Source organism: Homo sapiens, chromosome 8, assembly GCF_000001405.40.
Source record: "Homo sapiens chromosome 8, GRCh38.p14 Primary Assembly".
Taxonomy (NCBI): domain Eukaryota; kingdom Metazoa; phylum Chordata; class Mammalia; order Primates; family Hominidae; genus Homo; species Homo sapiens.
In genome coordinates this window covers 94474667-94492982 of record NC_000008.11, presented here as the reverse complement: position 1 = coordinate 94492982, position 18316 = coordinate 94474667, and the positions used below count along the sequence as shown (strand labels likewise).

The 18316-nt window shown below is 41.1% G+C and overlaps 2 protein-coding genes across 5 annotated transcripts in view, besides 1 other annotated feature; both read left to right on the top strand.

Annotated features, from left to right (window-relative positions):
• Window positions 1–5294, top strand: part of VIRMA (vir like m6A methyltransferase associated) — a 65781-nt gene extending 60487 nt beyond the window's left edge. For all 3 annotated transcript variants that reach the window (NM_015496.5, XM_047421677.1, XM_047421678.1), the window contains 4 exons: window positions 165–331; window positions 1074–1405; window positions 2901–3044; window positions 4123–5294. In NM_015496.5, coding sequence (NP_056311.2) covers window positions 165–331; window positions 1074–1405; window positions 2901–3044; window positions 4123–4277 — 798 coding nt within the window. In that variant the 3' untranslated portion in view covers window positions 4278–5294. The remainder of the gene's footprint in view (window positions 1–164; window positions 332–1073; window positions 1406–2900; window positions 3045–4122) is intronic.
• RAD54B (RAD54 homolog B) overlaps window positions 17868–18316 on the top strand; it is a 103156-nt gene continuing 102707 nt past the window's right edge. For both annotated transcript variants that reach the window (NM_012415.3, NM_001205262.3), the window contains exon 1: window positions 17868–17982. The gene's annotated coding sequence lies outside the window, so the exon portion shown is untranslated. The remainder of the gene's footprint in view (window positions 17983–18316) is intronic.
• Window positions 17906–18135: an enhancer, noted in NCBI's record as "active region_27631". NCBI's record gives its function as "activates an Ori minimal core promoter by ATAC-STARR-seq in GM12878 lymphoblastoid cells {active_cell/tissue: GM12878}" and the evidence as "EXISTENCE:reporter gene assay evidence [ECO:0000049][PMID:35858748]".

Here is an 18316-nt window from a genome sequence, read left to right as displayed (position 1 = left end):
AACTACCAATGCCATTTGCTTTTTGAAAAGATGAAAGAGGTAGATCTATAATTTATTTCTTATGAGAGGCAAATATAATTTATAGGTAATAAGAATTTCTGTAGTCAAATGTTATGCTAATAATTACATTTAATATGTGTTTTGTTTCATTATTATGACTGCAGGTAAAGGTTGACTTAATTGAACTCTCTGAAAAATGCTGTAGTGACTTTGATTTGCACTCAGAATTAGAGCGCTCATTTTTGTCAGAACCATCATCTCCAGGAAGAACCAAGACTACTAAAGGATTCAAACTTGGGAAGCACAAGCATGAGACCTTTATAACGTCAAGGTAAAATTTATTCCACTGAAGATCTCAAATGTCATCACATAAGCTTATGTATTTTAGTATATTTTAAGATAGACACATGCGGCCGAGCGCGGTGGCTCACGCCTGTAATCCCAGCATTTTGGGAGGCCGAGGTCAGGAGATCGAGACCATTCTGGCTAACATGTTGAAACCCTGTCTCTACTAAAAATAAAAAAAAAAAAATTAGCTGGTCGTGGTGGTGGGTGCCTGTAGTCCCAGCTACTCGGGAGGCTGAGGCAGGAGAATGGTGTGAACCCGGGAGGTGGAGATTGCATTGAGCCGAGATCACGCCACTGCGCTGCAGCCTGGGCGACAGAGCAAGACTCTGTCTCTCAAAAAAAAAAAAAAAGACACATGCTATTAAACTAGAAAGGAAATTAACATAGCATTCGAATCATGAACATTGTTTGAATTTTTTAAATTTAAACGTAATAATTTGGCCAGGATATACCCAGTACATTTGTTATATTGTTTTCTACAAGATTTTGGAAGGTTTGAATAAGAAGTGAACTGGATTATTTTAAAACATTGTTATTCATAACAATGAAATGTGAGTACTTTTCTTAGCTAGTTTGTTATATTATCCCAGAAGTATGATAGATACTTGCAAAGTTAGCAGAATTGGAGTACAAAAAAACTGAAATATAATTTTGGGTATTATAAAGATTATTTTTGCTAGAAACCTGAAAGAAAAATGTTTTATGGCATGTTTTTGTTTTAATAGTGGAAAATCTGAATACATTGAACCTGCCAAAAGAGCTCATGTTGTGCCACCACCAAGAGGAAGGGGCAGGGGAGGATTTGGACAGGGTATACGACCTCATGATATTTTTCGTCAGAGAAAACAGAACACAAGTAGACCACCATCTATGCATGTGGATGACTTTGTTGCTGCTGAAAGTAAAGAAGTGGTTCCTCAAGATGGAATACCTCCACCAAAACGGCCACTCAAAGTATCACAGAAGATTTCTTCCCGTGGTGGGTTTTCAGGCAATAGAGGAGGACGGGGTGCTTTCCACAGTCAGAATAGGTTTTTCACACCACCTGCTTCAAAAGGTAACTAATTAGTATGTATTTTCTAATGGGTTAGAATATTGGAATGTTAAAATATTGAATGAAAGTGATTTAGATGGAAGAGATTCAGATAAACAGTTTTCCTGTTGCTGCAGTTGAGCCACCTCTGGACTAGTGGTACTGTTTGCAGAGTACTCTATTGGATAGAAGAAAGAAACTTTTTTTCAATGAACCTTTCATGCATTGTACTTTTAATAATGAGTTTAGAAGTCTTGGCTAATTATTCCCCCCGGCCTTTTTTTTTTGAGACAAGAGTCTTGCTCTGTCGCCCAGGCTGGGGTGCGGTGGTGTGATCTCAGCTCACTACAAACTCTGCCTCCCTGGTTCAAGTGATTTTCCTGCCTCAGCCTCCCAAGTATTTGGGACTACAGGCATGCACCACAATGCCCAACTAATTTTTGTATTTTTAGTAGAGATGGGTTTTCGCCGTGTTTGCCAGGCTAGTCTCAAACTCCTGACCTCAAGTGATTCACCCCCCTTGGCTTCCCAAAGTGCTGGGATTACAGGCATGAACCACCGTGCTCAGCCTTATTTTCCTTTTTACATTGAGAATTATACATTTTCTGAGTAATACCCTTACATTATTTTCACAATTATACTTAACAGTTTTCTTAAGATTGTTCTGTGCAGTTCACCATTGATCTGCCTAATCTGCTTGTTTTCTAATGTTATATTTAGTCTGTTTGAAATTGTTACAAGATTTTTTTTTTTGGAGACAGAGTTTTGCTCTTCTTGCCCAGGCTGGAGTGCAATGGCGCAATCTCGGCTCACTGCAGCCTCTGCCTCCTGGGTTTAAGCGATTCTCCTGCTTCAACCTCCCGAGTAACTGGGATTATAGGCATGCGCCACCACACCCGGCTAATTTTTATATTATTAGTAGAGACGGGGTCTCACCATGTTGGCCGGGCTGGTCTCGAACTCCTGACCTCAGGTGATCCACCCACCTTCGGCCTCCCAAAGTGCAGGGATTACAGGCGTGAGCCACTGCACCTGGCCTTACAAGATTTTAGAAACTAGGGATACTTACAGAAATTATACTTTAGTAGTGGATTGATAAACATGTTTTCATACCTGCTGAGTTAGGAGGGTGAGAGTGAAAGAGAATCTGTGTTTATATTAATAACAAACACTTAGATTAGGTGTGTCAGGAACTGTTATAAGCACTTTACATATTATAACCTCATGTCAACCCCATGAGGCAAGTTCTCTTAGTACTCCCAATTTGCAGAAGAGAAAATTGTCAGTCAGCTGACCAGGGCACATAAATACAAGTGGTAGAACCAGTATTTGATCCCTGGCAGTTTGGCTCTAGAGCCTCTGCTCTTAACCACTGTGATGTTGCCACTATATAGTACAGTCAGTTTGCAGAATTTCAGTTTCTTTTCCATTCTTTTGAAGATTAAGAAAAATCTGTCACTTAAAAGAATCCAACTGAAGTTGTGAAAAAAGTGATTTTGATTGTGCTGTTTGTGTTTAGGAAACTACAGTCGTCGGGAAGGAACAAGAGGCTCCAGTTGGAGTGCTCAGAATACTCCTCGAGGAAATTACAATGAAAGTCGTGGAGGCCAGAGCAATTTTAACAGAGGCCCTCTTCCACCATTACGACCCCTTAGTTCTACAGGTATACATCCTTGCTACTTGATATTGCTGAGAGAAGGGAAGTAAATTCCTCCTTTAAAATTGTTGATATCATATACAGAGGGGGCTAGGGGTGCTAATCTCCCCATCTCCTTGCTCCACACAGTCAAAAATCTAAGTATAACTTTGACTTCCCCAAAACTTAACTACTGCTAGTATACTGTTGACTGGAAGCCTTACAGATAACATAAACAGTTGATTGACACATATTTTATATGTTATATATATATTATATAATGTGTTACAATTAAATAAGCTGGAGAAAAGAAAATGTTATTAAGAAAATCATAAGGAAGAGAAAATACATTTACTATTAAGTGGAAGTGGATCTTCATAAAGGTCATAACATTCCATAGGCTGAGGAAGAGGAGGAGAGGTCTTACTTTCTTAGGAGCAGCAGAGGTGGAAGAAAATCCTCATATAAGTGGACCTAGGCAGTTGAAACCCATGTTGTTCAAGGGTCAACTGTACTCTCATTCTGGAAGAGAATATTTTAGAGTATAGACTTAAAGTTCTAAAGTTTATATCCTTGAATGAATGCCCAATATACATCTTCTGTAAAAATAATCAAATTTTTAGTTTCTGAACTGTTTGTATAATCTGAACAGTTTCATGGTGATGTGCTCTTATTTTTATGTTTCAGTAATGAAAGCCAATGCTTAAGGTATCTTTCTGACCACAAAGTATTTTAATAACAGAGATACCTTTATACAGCATATATTTTTTTGGTTATAGTATTGTCTTAGGTGTGTAAGCACATAACCTTTTTTTTTAAAACATTTATCTAGTCCAGAATTTTACTTATCAGAAGTAGCTTTTGGTTTCAAATGCACATTTTTAAAAAATAATAGTTTTATTTAGGATATAATTCTCATATACCATATAGTTTACCTGTTTAAAATGTATAATTCAAAAATCTTTGGCCCATTCACCGTGCTTGCACGTGAGCTTTAAAAGAGAATAGAGTAATTCTTGGTTTGAGCTCAGTGTCGTAGATTAGTATTTATAATCTTGGAAAAGAAAGGACATTGGAACTAAAAACTGTATTCTTTCTTTTACAGGTTACCGCCCAAGTCCTCGGGACCGTGCTTCTAGAGGTCGTGGGGGACTTGGACCTTCCTGGGCTAGTGCAAATAGCGGCAGTGGAGGCTCAAGAGGAAAGTTTGTTAGTGGAGGCAGTGGTAGAGGTCGTCATGTACGCTCCTTTACACGATAAAAATCCTTTTGGGAACATCTTAACTGTATATGAACATTTCACGAGGACAATAAAAATAAGACATTGAAGGACCAATTTAGACTTAGCAGTTATCTGGAGACATCTGAGAGAATATTTTTATCTGAAGAAAGCAGAATTTGTTTGATACCTAACAAGATTTCAATAAAAATCCAAACTTTGTATGTACGTTTGTATATATTTTCCCTTTTTTGTATGACTATTTATTTAGAAAATTTCTAGGTGAAAAACTAAATGATGTTTTGTATTTTTCTTGCCTATAGCACAGATATTCTCAAACTTTCTCAGCTCATGACACTATTTAGTGCCTCAGTACTTTTTTCACAGCATACCTGGTCCAAAAGAAATATCTAATACTTGTGTTTATTAAGCAGTTAGATCCAACAGCTTAATAAGAATGTACATCATCACCACTAGTAACTGTGGACACTGCATGTCTCAAACCTTGGAATCAGTATCATTTTCTTTTCCTCTCTGCTTCTTGCACAGTACTTTTTATCAAACTGCTGAAAACCCAGTTTTGTAAAGATATGTTGTTATAGAAAGGAATATAATGCTATTTAATGTTGAAAATGTAAACTACCTCAAAGTAGTAGTTTATGTGATGTCCAACAGGTGTTGCTATGTTTTTCTCAAAAATTTTAAAATATTGTGTGGCACCCATGTTAATTTGCTAAGGTGCCCTGCTACACAGTTTGGGAACCATGGCTGTACCAAAAGAAACAAAATACTCCTCTCCTTTGTATTAGAAATCTGAACTTTGCATTTCAGCTTTGGACCTACTGACACTATTTTATTATACAAATTATTTAAAGCCTAAAATAAGGAATATCCTAATACTATTATTTTGGGAATCAGAAACATCTAATAAAGCTGGACTTTATACATAGAAATAAAGCTTACAACTTTGAGAAAGTAGCCATATTTTCCCCAAGATACGTCTTAACACACTGAGTCTATATAAGTGGCGTAAAATACAGAGTTATCTTAATCAGAAAAGGAGTGTATGAGTCTCATTCCATCCTTTTATCAATCTCTGTTTTGGAGAACTATTTGTGAGTGAATACAATCTTCATTAAGAAAACACTTTGAAGAAAAGCTTAGCTGTAAAGAATCAGAGGTTTAGGTGAAAGGTTATGGCAATCTTTTCATAACTAGTGGCCTTGAAAAACCCAAGTCTTGAGCTGCTGTAAGAAAATACCATAGACTGGGTGGCTTAAACAATAAAAATTTATTTCTCAAAGTTCTGGAGGCTTGGAAGTCCAAGATCAGGGTGTCAGCATGGTTGGGTTCCAGTGAGGGCCCTCTTCCTGGCTTGTATGCAGCTACCTTCTTAAGTGCTCACATAGTCTTTCCTTGGTGCTTGCTTGGAGAGAGAGCGAGCTCTTGGGTCTTTTTCTTCTTACAAAGGCACTGTTCCCACCATGCAAGTCTCATCCTCATGATCTAATCTAAATCACAGTACCTCCCAAAGGACCCACCCTTTTAGTACTACTACATTGAGGGTTAGGAGTTCAATATATGAATTTAGGGAAACACAAGACTCAGCGCATCAAGGTAACTTAAATCCCCTTTGATCCTGAAACCTAACAGGCTCATTTTCCCCAAAGATATATTTTACACATTAGGTAAAATTCGAAATTTGCCCCAATGTCTGACACAAATACATGTAAAAAATAGTTAATGTTTCTTAAGTAACTGTGTTTCTTAAATAAGAACATGGCCATATATAGAAACATAATTTCTTGGTTTGTTTTTTAGCATTAAGCTGGATATGATCTTTGAGAAATATCAGAAAGCTGTTTTTGCTGTTTGAGTTAATACCCAGTAATTCAGGCCAATAAAGGTAATAAATTATTAGTGTAGAAACAAATTAATGCCAGGCAAATTTAAAATGTCTTGAGTGACTACAAGTCCTAGATAAATGAGAAGGGAAGGAATCCACCATGTTGACCAGCCCTTACATGCAAAAATCACTTAGTCCTTATAACAATCCAGCATAGGTGGTATTATCCTAATTTTACAGATGGAGAAAGTTGAAGAGCTTGACTCAAGCATGGTAGAAACAGGATTTAAAATCAGGTTGGGTGGTTCATGCCTGTAATCCCAGCACTTTGGGAGGCTAAGGCAAGAGGATCACTTAAGCCCAGGAGTTTGAGACTAGCCCTGGCAATATAGTGAGACCCTGTCTCTAAAGAAAATTTAAAAATTAGCTGAGTGAAGCTGGGCGTGGTGGGTCATACCTGTAATCCCAGCACTTTCGGAGGCCTAGGCAGGCGAATCACCTGAGGTCGGGAGTTTGAGATCAGCCTTACCAACATAGTGAAACCCTGTCTCTACTAAAAGTAAAAAAAATTAGCTGGACATGGTGGCACGTGCCTGTAATCCCAGCTACTCAGGAGGCTGAGACAGGAGAATTGCTTGAACCCAGGAAGTGGAGGTTGCAGTGAGCAGAGATCAAGCCACTATACTCCAGCTTGGGGGACAGAGCAAGACTCCATCTCAAAAAATAATAATAAAGAAAAAGCTGAGTGTGATGGTGCATGCCTGTAGTCTCAGCTACTTGGGAGACTGAGGCAGGAGGATCACTTAAGCCCAGGAGGTCAAGGCTGCAGTGAGCCATGATTGTGCCACTGTACTCCAGCCTGGGTGACAGAGTGGAAAAAAAAAATCAGATTGGAGCAGGGCACAGTGGTGGGCACCTGTGGTCCCAGCTACTCAGGAGGCTGAGGTGGGAGGATTGCTTAGGCCCAGGAGTTCATGTCCATCCTGGGCAGCAAGAGCAAGACCCCCATCTCTAAGAAATAATAATAAAATCAGGTTGGCTACCTCCTAATTTCTTACCTCTCCATCTTGGAGAAGAAGCGACTTTTCAGGTTAAGTGTGTTAGAGATCAAAATTAGTAATTCATCATACGGCAGTGGAGTTTCAGAGACCCAACACTGTATTTTAGTTATTTCAGAAGTGAGCCTCAAACAAGACATTTCAGGGAAAATTTTTGTTTGTTTGTTTGTTTGAGACAGAGTCTCACTGTCACCCAGGCTGGGGTGCAGTGGTGCTTTCCCTGTTTACTGCAACCTCTGCCTCCTGGGTTCAAGTGATTCTCCTGCCTCAGCCTCCCGAGTAGCTGGCATTATGGGCACCCACCACCATGCCCTGCTAATTTTTCTATTTTTAGTACAGACTGGGTTTCACCATGGTAGCCAGGCTGGTCTTGAACTCCCGATCTCAAGTGATCCACCTGCCTCAGCCTCCCAAAGTGCTGGGATTACAGGCATGAACAACTACACCCGGCCTATTTCAGGGAAAGTTTTGAGCGGCATTTAGAAATTAATGAAAGATGCAGAATTCCTTCGAGTACAAATTTAATCTGTAGAAGAGGAGTTGATAGAATGATTTGTGTTTATTTCCTAAGAATAAGAAAAAATACTATGAAATATTGTTATGCTTTATTTAAAAAGAATGTTGCAGGTAGTATTCTGTGTGAAGGAGTAGTAGGCCCAGTTAGATTAGCTTTATTTCTTTTTAAAAAAGTAATTGCAAAAACCTGCAGGATGAGAATGTGAGAATGTAGGAACTAGAGTATGTCTCCTACGCGTCTTCTGTGTTCCATATACCCTAGTACAGTGTGGGGAATATAAGGGTGACTAAGATATTTTTTGCCCTCAGGAAACTCACAGTCTAATAATGGAAACAATTATGTAAACGTCTTTTTTTTTTTGAGACGGAGTCTCGCTCTGTCACCCAGGCTGGAGTGCAGTGGTGTGATCTTGGCTCACTGCAACCTCCGCCTCCCGGGTTTAAGTGATTCTCCTGCCTCAGCCTCCTGAGTGGCTGGGACTACAGTGGGGTCCCACCAGGCCTGGCTAATTTTTTGTATTTTTAGTAGAGATGGGGGTTTCATCATGTTAGCCAGGATGGTCTCGATCTCCTGACCTCGTGATCTGCCCTCCTCAGCCTCCCAAAATGCTGGGATTACAGGCATGAGCCACCGTGCCTGGCCACATCATTTTTTTAAAAGAAAAGTTAATGAGATCTTAAGTGTATGAAGTGTATGTGGAACAATTCAGAATTCTTGAATAATCCAACCATTACATTTCTAACATTTTATTGTAGGTTTTCAAAAGTAACTATTTTTAAAATAGTATTTTAAGAAAAGGATATCTTGGCATTAAAATTGTATAAAATCTTTTTGGAATTGCTTTTGCATAAAGACTAGTTTTTTGGGTTTTTTTGTTTTGTTTTGTTTTGTTTTGTTTTTGAGACGGAATCTCACTCCATCACCCAGGCTGGAGTGCAGTGGCATGATCTTGGCTCACTGCAACCTCTGCCTTTCAGGTTCAAGTGATTCTTGTGCTTCAGCCTCCCAAGTAACTGGGACTACACTACAGGCACAAGCCACCATGCCTGGCTAGTTTTTTGTATTTTTAGTGGAGACGAGGTTTTGCCATATTGGCCAGGCTGGTTTCGAACTCCTGAGCTCAAGTGATCTGCCCTCCTCGGCCTCCTAAAGTGCTGGGATTTCAAGCATGAGCCACTGTGCCTGGCCTAAAGACTAGTTAAGCAGAAAAGATTATATATGCAATTTTAATTTTTATTATTTTAAATTCATAGGACAGATTAGGAGGTAATGAGTAGGATCTTGTAAGCGTCATATAACTTCATAATCTAGAGAAGGGGGTGCAAACTAAAGTACTAGCAATACACATTATTGTGTTAACCAATCTCCAGAACTCTTTTTTTTTTTTTTTTTTTGAGACAAACTCTTGCTCTGTTGTCCAGGGTAGAGTGCAGTGGCACGATCTTGGCTCACTACAGCCTCCGCCTCCCAGGTTCAAGTGATTCTCCTTCCTCAGCCTTCCTAGTAGCTGCGATTACAGGTGCACGCCACCAGGCCCAGCTAATTTTTGTATTTTTAGTAGAGATGGGTTTTCACCATGTTGACCAGGCTGGTCTCGAACTCCTGCTCAAACTCCTGATCTCAAGTGATCTACCGCCTCGGCCTCCCACAGTGCTGGCTTAATAGGTATGAGCCACTGTGCCCGGCCAGAACTTTTTCATCTTTCAAAACTGAAATTCTATACCCATTAAACAACTCTGATTTCCCTGTCCCCCCAACCCCCGGCAACCGCCATTCTCCTTTTCGGTCTCTGTAAATTTGAGTACTCTAAATACCACATGTAAGTAGAACCGTATAAATTTGTCTTTTTGCAGCTGGCTTTTTTCACTTAGCATAATGTCCTCAAGGTTTATTCATGTTGTAGCCTGTGTCAGAATTTTTTTTAAAGACTGAATAATATTCCATTGTGTGGATATGCCACATTTTGTTTATTCGTCATCGGTTGATGGACATATGGGTTGCTTCCACATTTTGGCTATTGTGAATAATGCTGCTATGAACATGAGTGTACAAATATCTTTTCAAGACCCTACTTATAATTTTGGGGGGTATATATCCAGAAGTGGAATTGCCTAATGACATGGTAATTCTGTTATTTTTAATTTTTGAGCAACCACCATACTGCTTTCCACAACAGCTGCACCATTTTACATTCCCATCAACAGTGCAAAGGGGTTCCAATTTCTCCACATCTTTGCCAACACTTGTTATTTTCTGTTTTGTTTTGGTTTTCATAATAGCCCTTTTAATGGTTGTGCTTCTGACTTTTAGGGAGAAGCCAAAAATCTGGATTATTGTGTAATCAGTTTTCAAATATGCAATTAATTCAATTTAAAAATTAAAAACATTTTGTGAGCAAAACAAAAAATTATGCAGGACAAAATGTGCCCAGAGAGTTTCAACCTGAAGAATTTGATGATAGCATCTGTTTTAGAAATCACAATGGAATTTCTCTAAAGAGTTATTTTTATTTGGGAAGGTGAAATGTACCAGGTAAATCTGTGATGGGACATGATGTTGTGGAGAAGTTCTTTGTGACCAAAAAGTCTGGTTTTGAGAACCAGTTCTATGCTCTACTAATTAGCTGTGCAACTTTAAATCGCTCCTCTTATCCTAAATTTCTTTCTTTTTTTTTTTTTTTTGTTGAGACAGAGTCTCGTTCTGTCACCCAGCCTGGAGCGCACTGGCGTGATCTTGGCTCACTGCAACCTCCACCTCCTGGGTACAAACGATTCTCCTGCCTCAGCCTCCCGAGTAGCTGGGATTACAGGCGCCCACCCCCATGTCTGGCTAAATTTTGTATTTTTAGTAGAGACGGGGTTTCACCATGTTAGTCAGGCTGGTCTTGACCTCCTGACCTCAAATGATCCGTCCGCCTTGGCCTCCCAAAGTGCTGGGATTGCAGACATGATCCACCGCTCCTGGCCTATCCTAAATTTCTTTATCTGCTCTGCCTACATCAGTAGGTTATGGGGATTAAATAAGATTTGTATTTGATTTTTTTTTTACATGTAGAGCATTATTACTTTAAATTAGATCCTCCACTACCTAGACAAAAATATACTTAACATGCCTTACTTGCTAAGTTATTTCTGAAGCCAGAAATTAGTGCCTGCTTGATAAATAAGTGGAAATTATGTAAGTAGAATTATACTAATGTTTAATAGCTCTACTGAACAATATTGATGTGGTTTTAGGGAGACTATTAGTTTGGGGACAGTTTTATAATGGTTTTTTGAACATAGATTCTAAGTGAGGATAGTCCAGTTTCTGTCTAAGTAGAATTTCCAGGATACTCAGGGCATATGGTAATATTTTTTAAATGTAAGGAGGTGGTAATTGCAGGGAACAGTGAGTAGTCTACTTTGGCCAGTGTAGGAATGTAGGGACAGTGTAGAGGGGATGGAGGGGAAGGTATATTTGGAGACTGGGGTCAAATTATGAAAGGTCTTATTTGCTGTGCTAAGCCTTAGGGAGTAACTGAACTTTTTAAATGTGAGTGACATTTTCAGATTTGGTACTTTTATGAGCTTCTATCAGCCAGTCACTATGAAAGATGTTTTCACATAACTCCCAATCAGAAGTATTCTTTTAAAAAGGGGACTGATGGGGGCAGTGGCTTATGTCTGTAATCCCACCATTTTGGGAGGCTGAGGCAGGAGGACCACTTGAGCCCAGGAGTCAGAGACCAGCCTGGGCAACATAGTGAGACCCCCCCATCTCTACAAAAAATGTAAAAATAGCCCAGGTGTGGTGGTGCACATCTGTAGTCCCAGCTACTCAGGAGGCTGAGGTGGGAGGGTTGCTTGGGCCCGGAAGTTCAAGGCTGCAGTAAGCTGTGATTGTGCCACTCCACTCCAGCCTGGGTGACACAGCAAGACCCTGTATCAAAAACTAAATAAATAAAAATTGAAAAAGTAAAAAAATTAAAAGAGAACTACTTTGGTGCAGCAGAGAGGAAGGATTAGAGAGGGAAGAGCCTGAAGGCCGACCAATAAAGAAGTTACAGGCCGGGCGCAATGGCTCACGCCTGTAATCCCAGCACTTAGGGAGGCCGAGATGGGCAGATCATGAGGTCAGGAGATTGAGACCATCCTGGCTAACGCGGTGAAACCCCGTCTGTACTAAAAATACAAAAAAATTAGCCAGGCGTGGTGGTGGGCGCCTGTAGTCCCAGCTACTCGGGAGGCTGAGGCAGGAGAATTGCTTGAACCCATGAGGCCGAGTTTGCAGTGAGCCGAGATCACACCACTGCACTGCAGCCTGGGTGACAGAGCGAAACTCCCTCTCAAAAAAAAAGAAAAAGAAGTTACAGCAAAGTTCTCTATGAGCAATTCTCGAAAAGCAATCCCTAGACCAGCAGCTCAGCATCACCTGGAGATGTGTTAGAAATGCATATTCCTCCAGCCTGGGCAACATGGCAAGATCCTGTCTTTACAAGATATATATTAAAAAATTAACCAGGTGTGGTGGCGTGTGCCTATAGTCCCAGATACTGGAGAGGCTGAGGCAAGCGGAGCCCTTGAACTCAGGAGGTCGAGGCTGAAGTAAGCCATGATCACGCGACACTGCACTTGAGCCTGGGCAATATAGGGAGATTTTGTCTCAAAAAAAAAAAAGCATTAATGAATACTCTTAAACATGACCCCAGGCCCAGGAGGGGAGGGGTTGGCAATGTGTGTGTGCTTTAACAAATCCTGCAAACAATTCTGTTAAAGTTTGATGCACCCTAAGGTTTGAGAACCACTGATCTATATCAATGGTTTTCTTTTTTTTCCTTTTTTTTTTTTTTTTTCTTTTTGTTGTTGTTGTTGAGACGGAGTCTCGCTCTGTTGCCAGGCTGGAATGCAGTGGCGCGATCTCGGCTCCCTGCAACCTCTGCCTTCCGGGTTCAAGCTATTCTCCTGCCTCAGTCTCCCGAATAGCTGGGACTACAGGTGCCTGCCAACGTGCCAGGCTAATTTTTGTATTTTTAGTAGAGATGGGGTTTCACCATGTTAGCCAGGATGGTCTCGATCTCTTGATCTCGTGATGCGCCCGCCTCAGCCTCCCAAAGTGCTGAGATTACATGTCAATGGTTTTCAAATTTAGGAATCATCTGGGGAGGTCTTTAAAAATGCAAGTTTTGGGGGCCTACACATCTCTTTTTAAAAAACTTCTCAGGAGATTCTAATAATTAGCCAGGTTTGGATACAGTGACCTAAATGAAAGTAATGTCCTCAGCTAGGATAGTGGTAATGGAGACAAAGGGATCACATAGAACAGATATTTGTCAGATACTGTAATACTGCTAGAATTAAATTAGGCCATGATGGCATAAAACTCAATAAAGCAGTTACTGTTCTGAAATAACTTTCTAATGGGAGAAGAGAGGGGCAGGTGCTTGGGAGCAGAATGAGGAAAATGTAGGTAGCATTTTGGAACAGCAGAATTGAAGCTCAAACGTCTGGAGGTTTCCGGATGTGATAAGTAGTGCCACAGGCTCCAAATGGATCACAGAGGGTGAAGGTGAAGATGAAACGACAACTAGATTTGGCAATTTGGAAGATTTTATAACCTTTGTGATGGCAATTTTATTGGAATGAGAATTTGAAGGTAAGGTAAGCAGAATCCGTAATGCTATTTGTTGGCATGATTGAGAAATGAAAGTATAGGCGATGGGTACTTTTTCAATTTGAACTGAAGAGAGATTGCTAAAAACTATGTGTATCAAAGCCATCCGCTCCTCAACTGTTTACATATAATGATTGACTTTGGATATGTGGCCTTAGACTGTTATCTGCAGAGTCTAGTTATGTTTTTTGTGCTTCCACACTTTTGACTACAGACTTCTTTGAAATTCCATTTCTGATTATTGTGTTTTAAGTTGTTATATCTACTTTCATATCTGAGATGTTCTGTCGCCAGGCTGGAGTGCAGTGGCGCAACACGGCTCACTGCAACCTCTGCCTCCCGGGTTCAAGCAATTATCCTGTCTCAGCCTCCTGAGTAGCTGGGATTACAGGTGCCCGCCACCGTGCCTGGCTAATTTTTGTATTTTTAGTAGGGACGAAGTTTCACCATGTTGGCCAGGCTGGTCTCGAACTCCTGACCTCAGGTGATCCACTCTCCTCGGCCTCCCAAAGTGCTGGGAGCCACTGCGCCCAGCCACATATTCTTGAGTTTAAAATGGAATAAGGTTTTGAGGTATTCATTTAGAAAAAAAATGCTGAATTACATGACTTATTTTAAAGCAATAGACAAAACTAAAATATTAGTTAAATAAACATTCTTAAACTTTTTTTCAAGTTAATAAATCTTGACAAATTATTTGAGTTGACAAACTGTGTTGTATTCCCCACTGAAGGTCTCTTGGTTTGCTAAGAGATACTTTAGGCATATTTTGGTAAAGCTTTGGTCCTCTTTAAGTCTGCAGCTGCTTTCAGTTGTTGCCTCTAGGAAGGATGCTTTTAGATGTTCTGGTAATCCTGGAATGGTAGAATTGCTATTTACTCTGATGAAACATTTCACTTGGTCCTTCCAGAACAAGTTAGGGTCCTCTGGAATCACTGTTCTCTTTAAGCTAAATAAGGAATCAAAAATAATTCACCTGAAAGCCCAAGTCATATAAAATAAATATTATCCAAAACTGTTCTATAACCATGTGAAACTTATTAATTTTTTTTTAATTGAAGTGAAGTCTCACTATGTTGCTCAGGCTGGTCTTGAGCTCAAGCTGTCCTACTGCCTCAGCCTACCAAGTAGCTGGGATTACAGGCACGCATAAGCACACCCAGCTAGCATGTGAAACTTTAAAAAACTGTTCAATAATTTTCCCTCCGAAACTTACTTCGATGAAAAAGTAAGAAATTAGTAATGAATAGAGCTAGGTACTAATCCTGCCTTTGCCATTCATTAACTTCTGTGTGATATGAACAAATCACTAGTGGGGTGTTATTTTCTCATATTCTGAAACATAAAATAGAAGTAGGAATATGTGTGGTGGGAGGTGAATATGAATCAAAAGAGAAATGTATTACAGATATTTATTATAGAGTTAAAGTAAAAAATAACAGTCCAGAATTGATCAAGTGTAGTGGCTAGGAGACAAGTGGGATCACAACTGAAAAAGAAGGGTAATCAGACTAAAAGGAGGTGTCCAAATTATTTTTCTCCTCTCCACTCCTCCCACCCCAGCTGTAATGTTGATGCTGCTTAATCAATTAACTAACATTACCAATAAGTAATAACCAATTAATGTGTTAATTCAACATTATAGTTACAGAGACTTTTACCTCCAATATTTGTTACTGTTAACCCCAAGGCATAGTATAATATCCTTATAAAAATATTTAGGGGTGACATACTTGGCATTGAATGATTAAAGAAGGAAATGAAACGAATACCAATATATTCATTTCCAAAGATATATGTATCCACATAATTGGACAAAGACTTTGATTTTTTTCTTTTGAGACAGGGTTTCATTCATGTTGCCCAGGCTGGTTTTGGACTCCTAGACTCAAGCGATTCTCCCCACTCAGCCTCCCAAAGTGTTGGCATTACAGGCATGAGCCACCACACCCAGGCCTAAATTGCATTTTATTAGTTTCCTTTAGAGATAATCCAAAATCAGACTATACACTTCTGCAGAAAAGTACTTTTGAACTACACATTACAGTGTCCTTTGCATTACCAGGTACTTCATGTTTAGTATTTGTTGAGTAACAGAAATCTTGTTTTTTAAACTTCTTTTTTTTTTGAGATAGAGTCTTGCTCTTTTGCCCAGGCTGGAGTGCAATGGCACGATCTTGGCTCACTGCAACCTCCACCTCCTGGGTTCAAGCAATTCTTCTGCCTCAGCCTCCCCAGTAGCTGGGATTACAGGCACTCACCACCATGCTCAACTAATTTTTGTATTTTTAGTAGAGACAGTGTTTCACCACGTTCACCAGGCTAGTCTTGAACTCCTGACCTCAAGTGATCCGTCCGCCTTGGCCTCCCAAAGTGCTGGGATTACAGGCGTGAGCCACCACGCCTGGCCTTTTTAAACTTTTTACTTGAACTAATGTTTGACTTACAGAACACTTGCAAAAACAGAACAGAGTGTTCATGTGTACACTTCTTCCAGCTTTCTTTCTTTTCTTTTCTTTTCTTAAGAGACAGTGTCTCACTATGTTGCCCAGGCTGGTCTTGTCTCAAGCTCCTGGCCTCAAGTGATCCTCCTGCCTTGGCCTCCAAATAAATATCAACAAATATTTATTGAGTGCGGTCTGTAAGACTAGTACAGTTCTGGCTGGGTGCTGTAGCTCATGCCTTTAATCCCAGCACTTTGGGAGGCCGAGGTGGGCAGATCACGAGGTCAGGAGTTCGAGGCCAGCCTGGCCAATATGGTGAAACCCTGTCTCTACCAAAAATACAAAAAATTAGCCAGGCTTGGTGGCGGCGCATGCCTGTAGTCCCAGCTGCTTGGGAGGCTGAGGCAGAAGAATTGCTTTAACCCAGGAGGCAGAGGTTGCAGTGAGCCAAGATCATGCCACTGCACTCCAGTTGGGTGACAGAGAAAGACTCCGTCTCAAAAAACAAAACAAAACAAAAAAGACTAGTACTATTCTAAACACATGGGTACAGCAGAGAATAAAGCAAAGATCCTGCCCTCATGTAGCTTATATTCTGAGAGTAATAGAAAAACAATTAACAAATAAGTATATGTTAGGGAATGGAAAGTGTGATGAACTCTATAAAGCAGGGTAAGGGAGATACAAGATGAGACAAGAGAGCAATGCACTGTCAGATAAAGCCCTTTGACAAGTTGATATGTGAGTAATGATCTGAAGTGAAGGATCAAACCAGATGCAAATCTGCAAGAGGAATGTCCCAGGTCACCTTTAGCCAATCTGTTTTAGATTTTCTGAACTCCCCAGATGATATTAAGGTAGGCTGCAGACACTATGAAGCTAGCTTGTTTTCTGGTTACCCTTACTCTTTATGTGTCCCAGTCCAAAGAAGAGGGGGGTGCGGTTTACTAAGGTGCCCAACCTTGGCAGGTCCCCATTTCAAATTCTTGTAACGCTGGCTCCAGGAGCTGCCAAAAGCACAACTCAACCTATGAGGTGCTCTTTATGACTGGAAAAAGTCCCCAGGATAAAAGCTCCTTAAGCACATTACTCTTTTTTTTTGAAACAGGGTCTCTCTGCTGCCCAGGCTGGAGTGCTGCGGCACCATCTCGGTTCATTGCAGCCTTCACCTCCCAGGTTCAAGCGATTCTCCCGCCTTAGTCTGCTGAGTAGCTGGGATTACAGGCGCGCTCCACCAAAACCAGCTAATTTTTGTATTTTTAGTACAGACCGGGTTTCACCATGTTGGCCAGGCTGGTCTCGAACTCCTGACCTCAAGTGATCCGCCCGCCTCGGCCTCCCAAAGTACTGGGATTACAGGCACAAGCCACCGCTCTCAGCCTCAAATTACTCTTTTAAATGGCTGTACCTATTTACACTCCTACCAGCAGCCCAAGAGTTCCCATTGTTTCACATCTTCATTTCACCCTTGATATTTTTTAGCTTTTACTTTTTGTCAAACTGCTGGATAAAACTCAATAAACAACCTTTAGCCATTCTCTCTCCTTTCAGATTAGCCTTTCTAATACCATTTTTCAGGGATAGTTGACTGTGTTACCGCCTAGCACTTAGAAGGTGCTCAGTAAATACTCATTGAATGATGTAACTTTCCTACTTAACATGCTTTAATGCTTTTCCAAGTCCGGAGGCGGCTCCCCTTTTCTGAGAGCCTAATAATCACGTATTCGTTTCTATATTCCCAGAACCTAACAAAGAGTTTGAAAATTATCCTGCAGGCACCGCTAAGTCAATGTTTTTTCGGATGAATGAATAACCAATAGGATATCGTATACTTCTGCGATGCACGCATTTCTATTATCGCACACACCGAATCATACCGTATTTATTACTTATCCACGCAGATGGTGAGGTCTGTAGCCTCGGCATCTACACTGTGTCTGAAAGTAGGCACTAAACCAGTATTTTTTTAATTGAACCGTAAACTTGAATCAAACTTGGAAGCATTTAAAGCCAAACGCAAAGATACATGCGCAGTGATGCAGTAGGGTCGTCCAATCAGAGTAGGGCAGGACAGGGCAGTGCAGCGGCTAGGTAGTGCGCACGCGCGGCGGGCTCGTCCGCGATTGGCTTCGCCGAGGCGGGATCCTTGAGCTTCTCCGGCGGCGAGGGGATAGCTGGTTACCAGAAGGACTTCTTTGCAGGGCCAGTGGTTTCTGTCAGATTTTCGCCGGTGCGTCCTGCAGGGGGAAGCTCGGGAGGCTGCGACAGCCTGTAGGCTCGTGCGGGACAAAGCAGGGAGTGGCGCCGGAGCAGGCCAACGAGGGAGGAGGGAGGGAAGGCGGCAGGAGCGACCGAAGTGGCCTTCTGCGGGCCTGCAGCTTTGGTCTGAAGTGCCAGGGACGCCCTGGTTGCTGGCCCCGGGGGCCTTGGAGCGAAGGGCGGGCGGTGGGGGTTTAGGGTTGTGCGTTTGTGTGGGAGGGATGGTTCTGGGCAGTGGCCCCTGGGGCCGCCACTGCGGTCGCTTTGCGCAGGCTCCTCTTGGCTTTTGGGTCTCTCCCTCACTC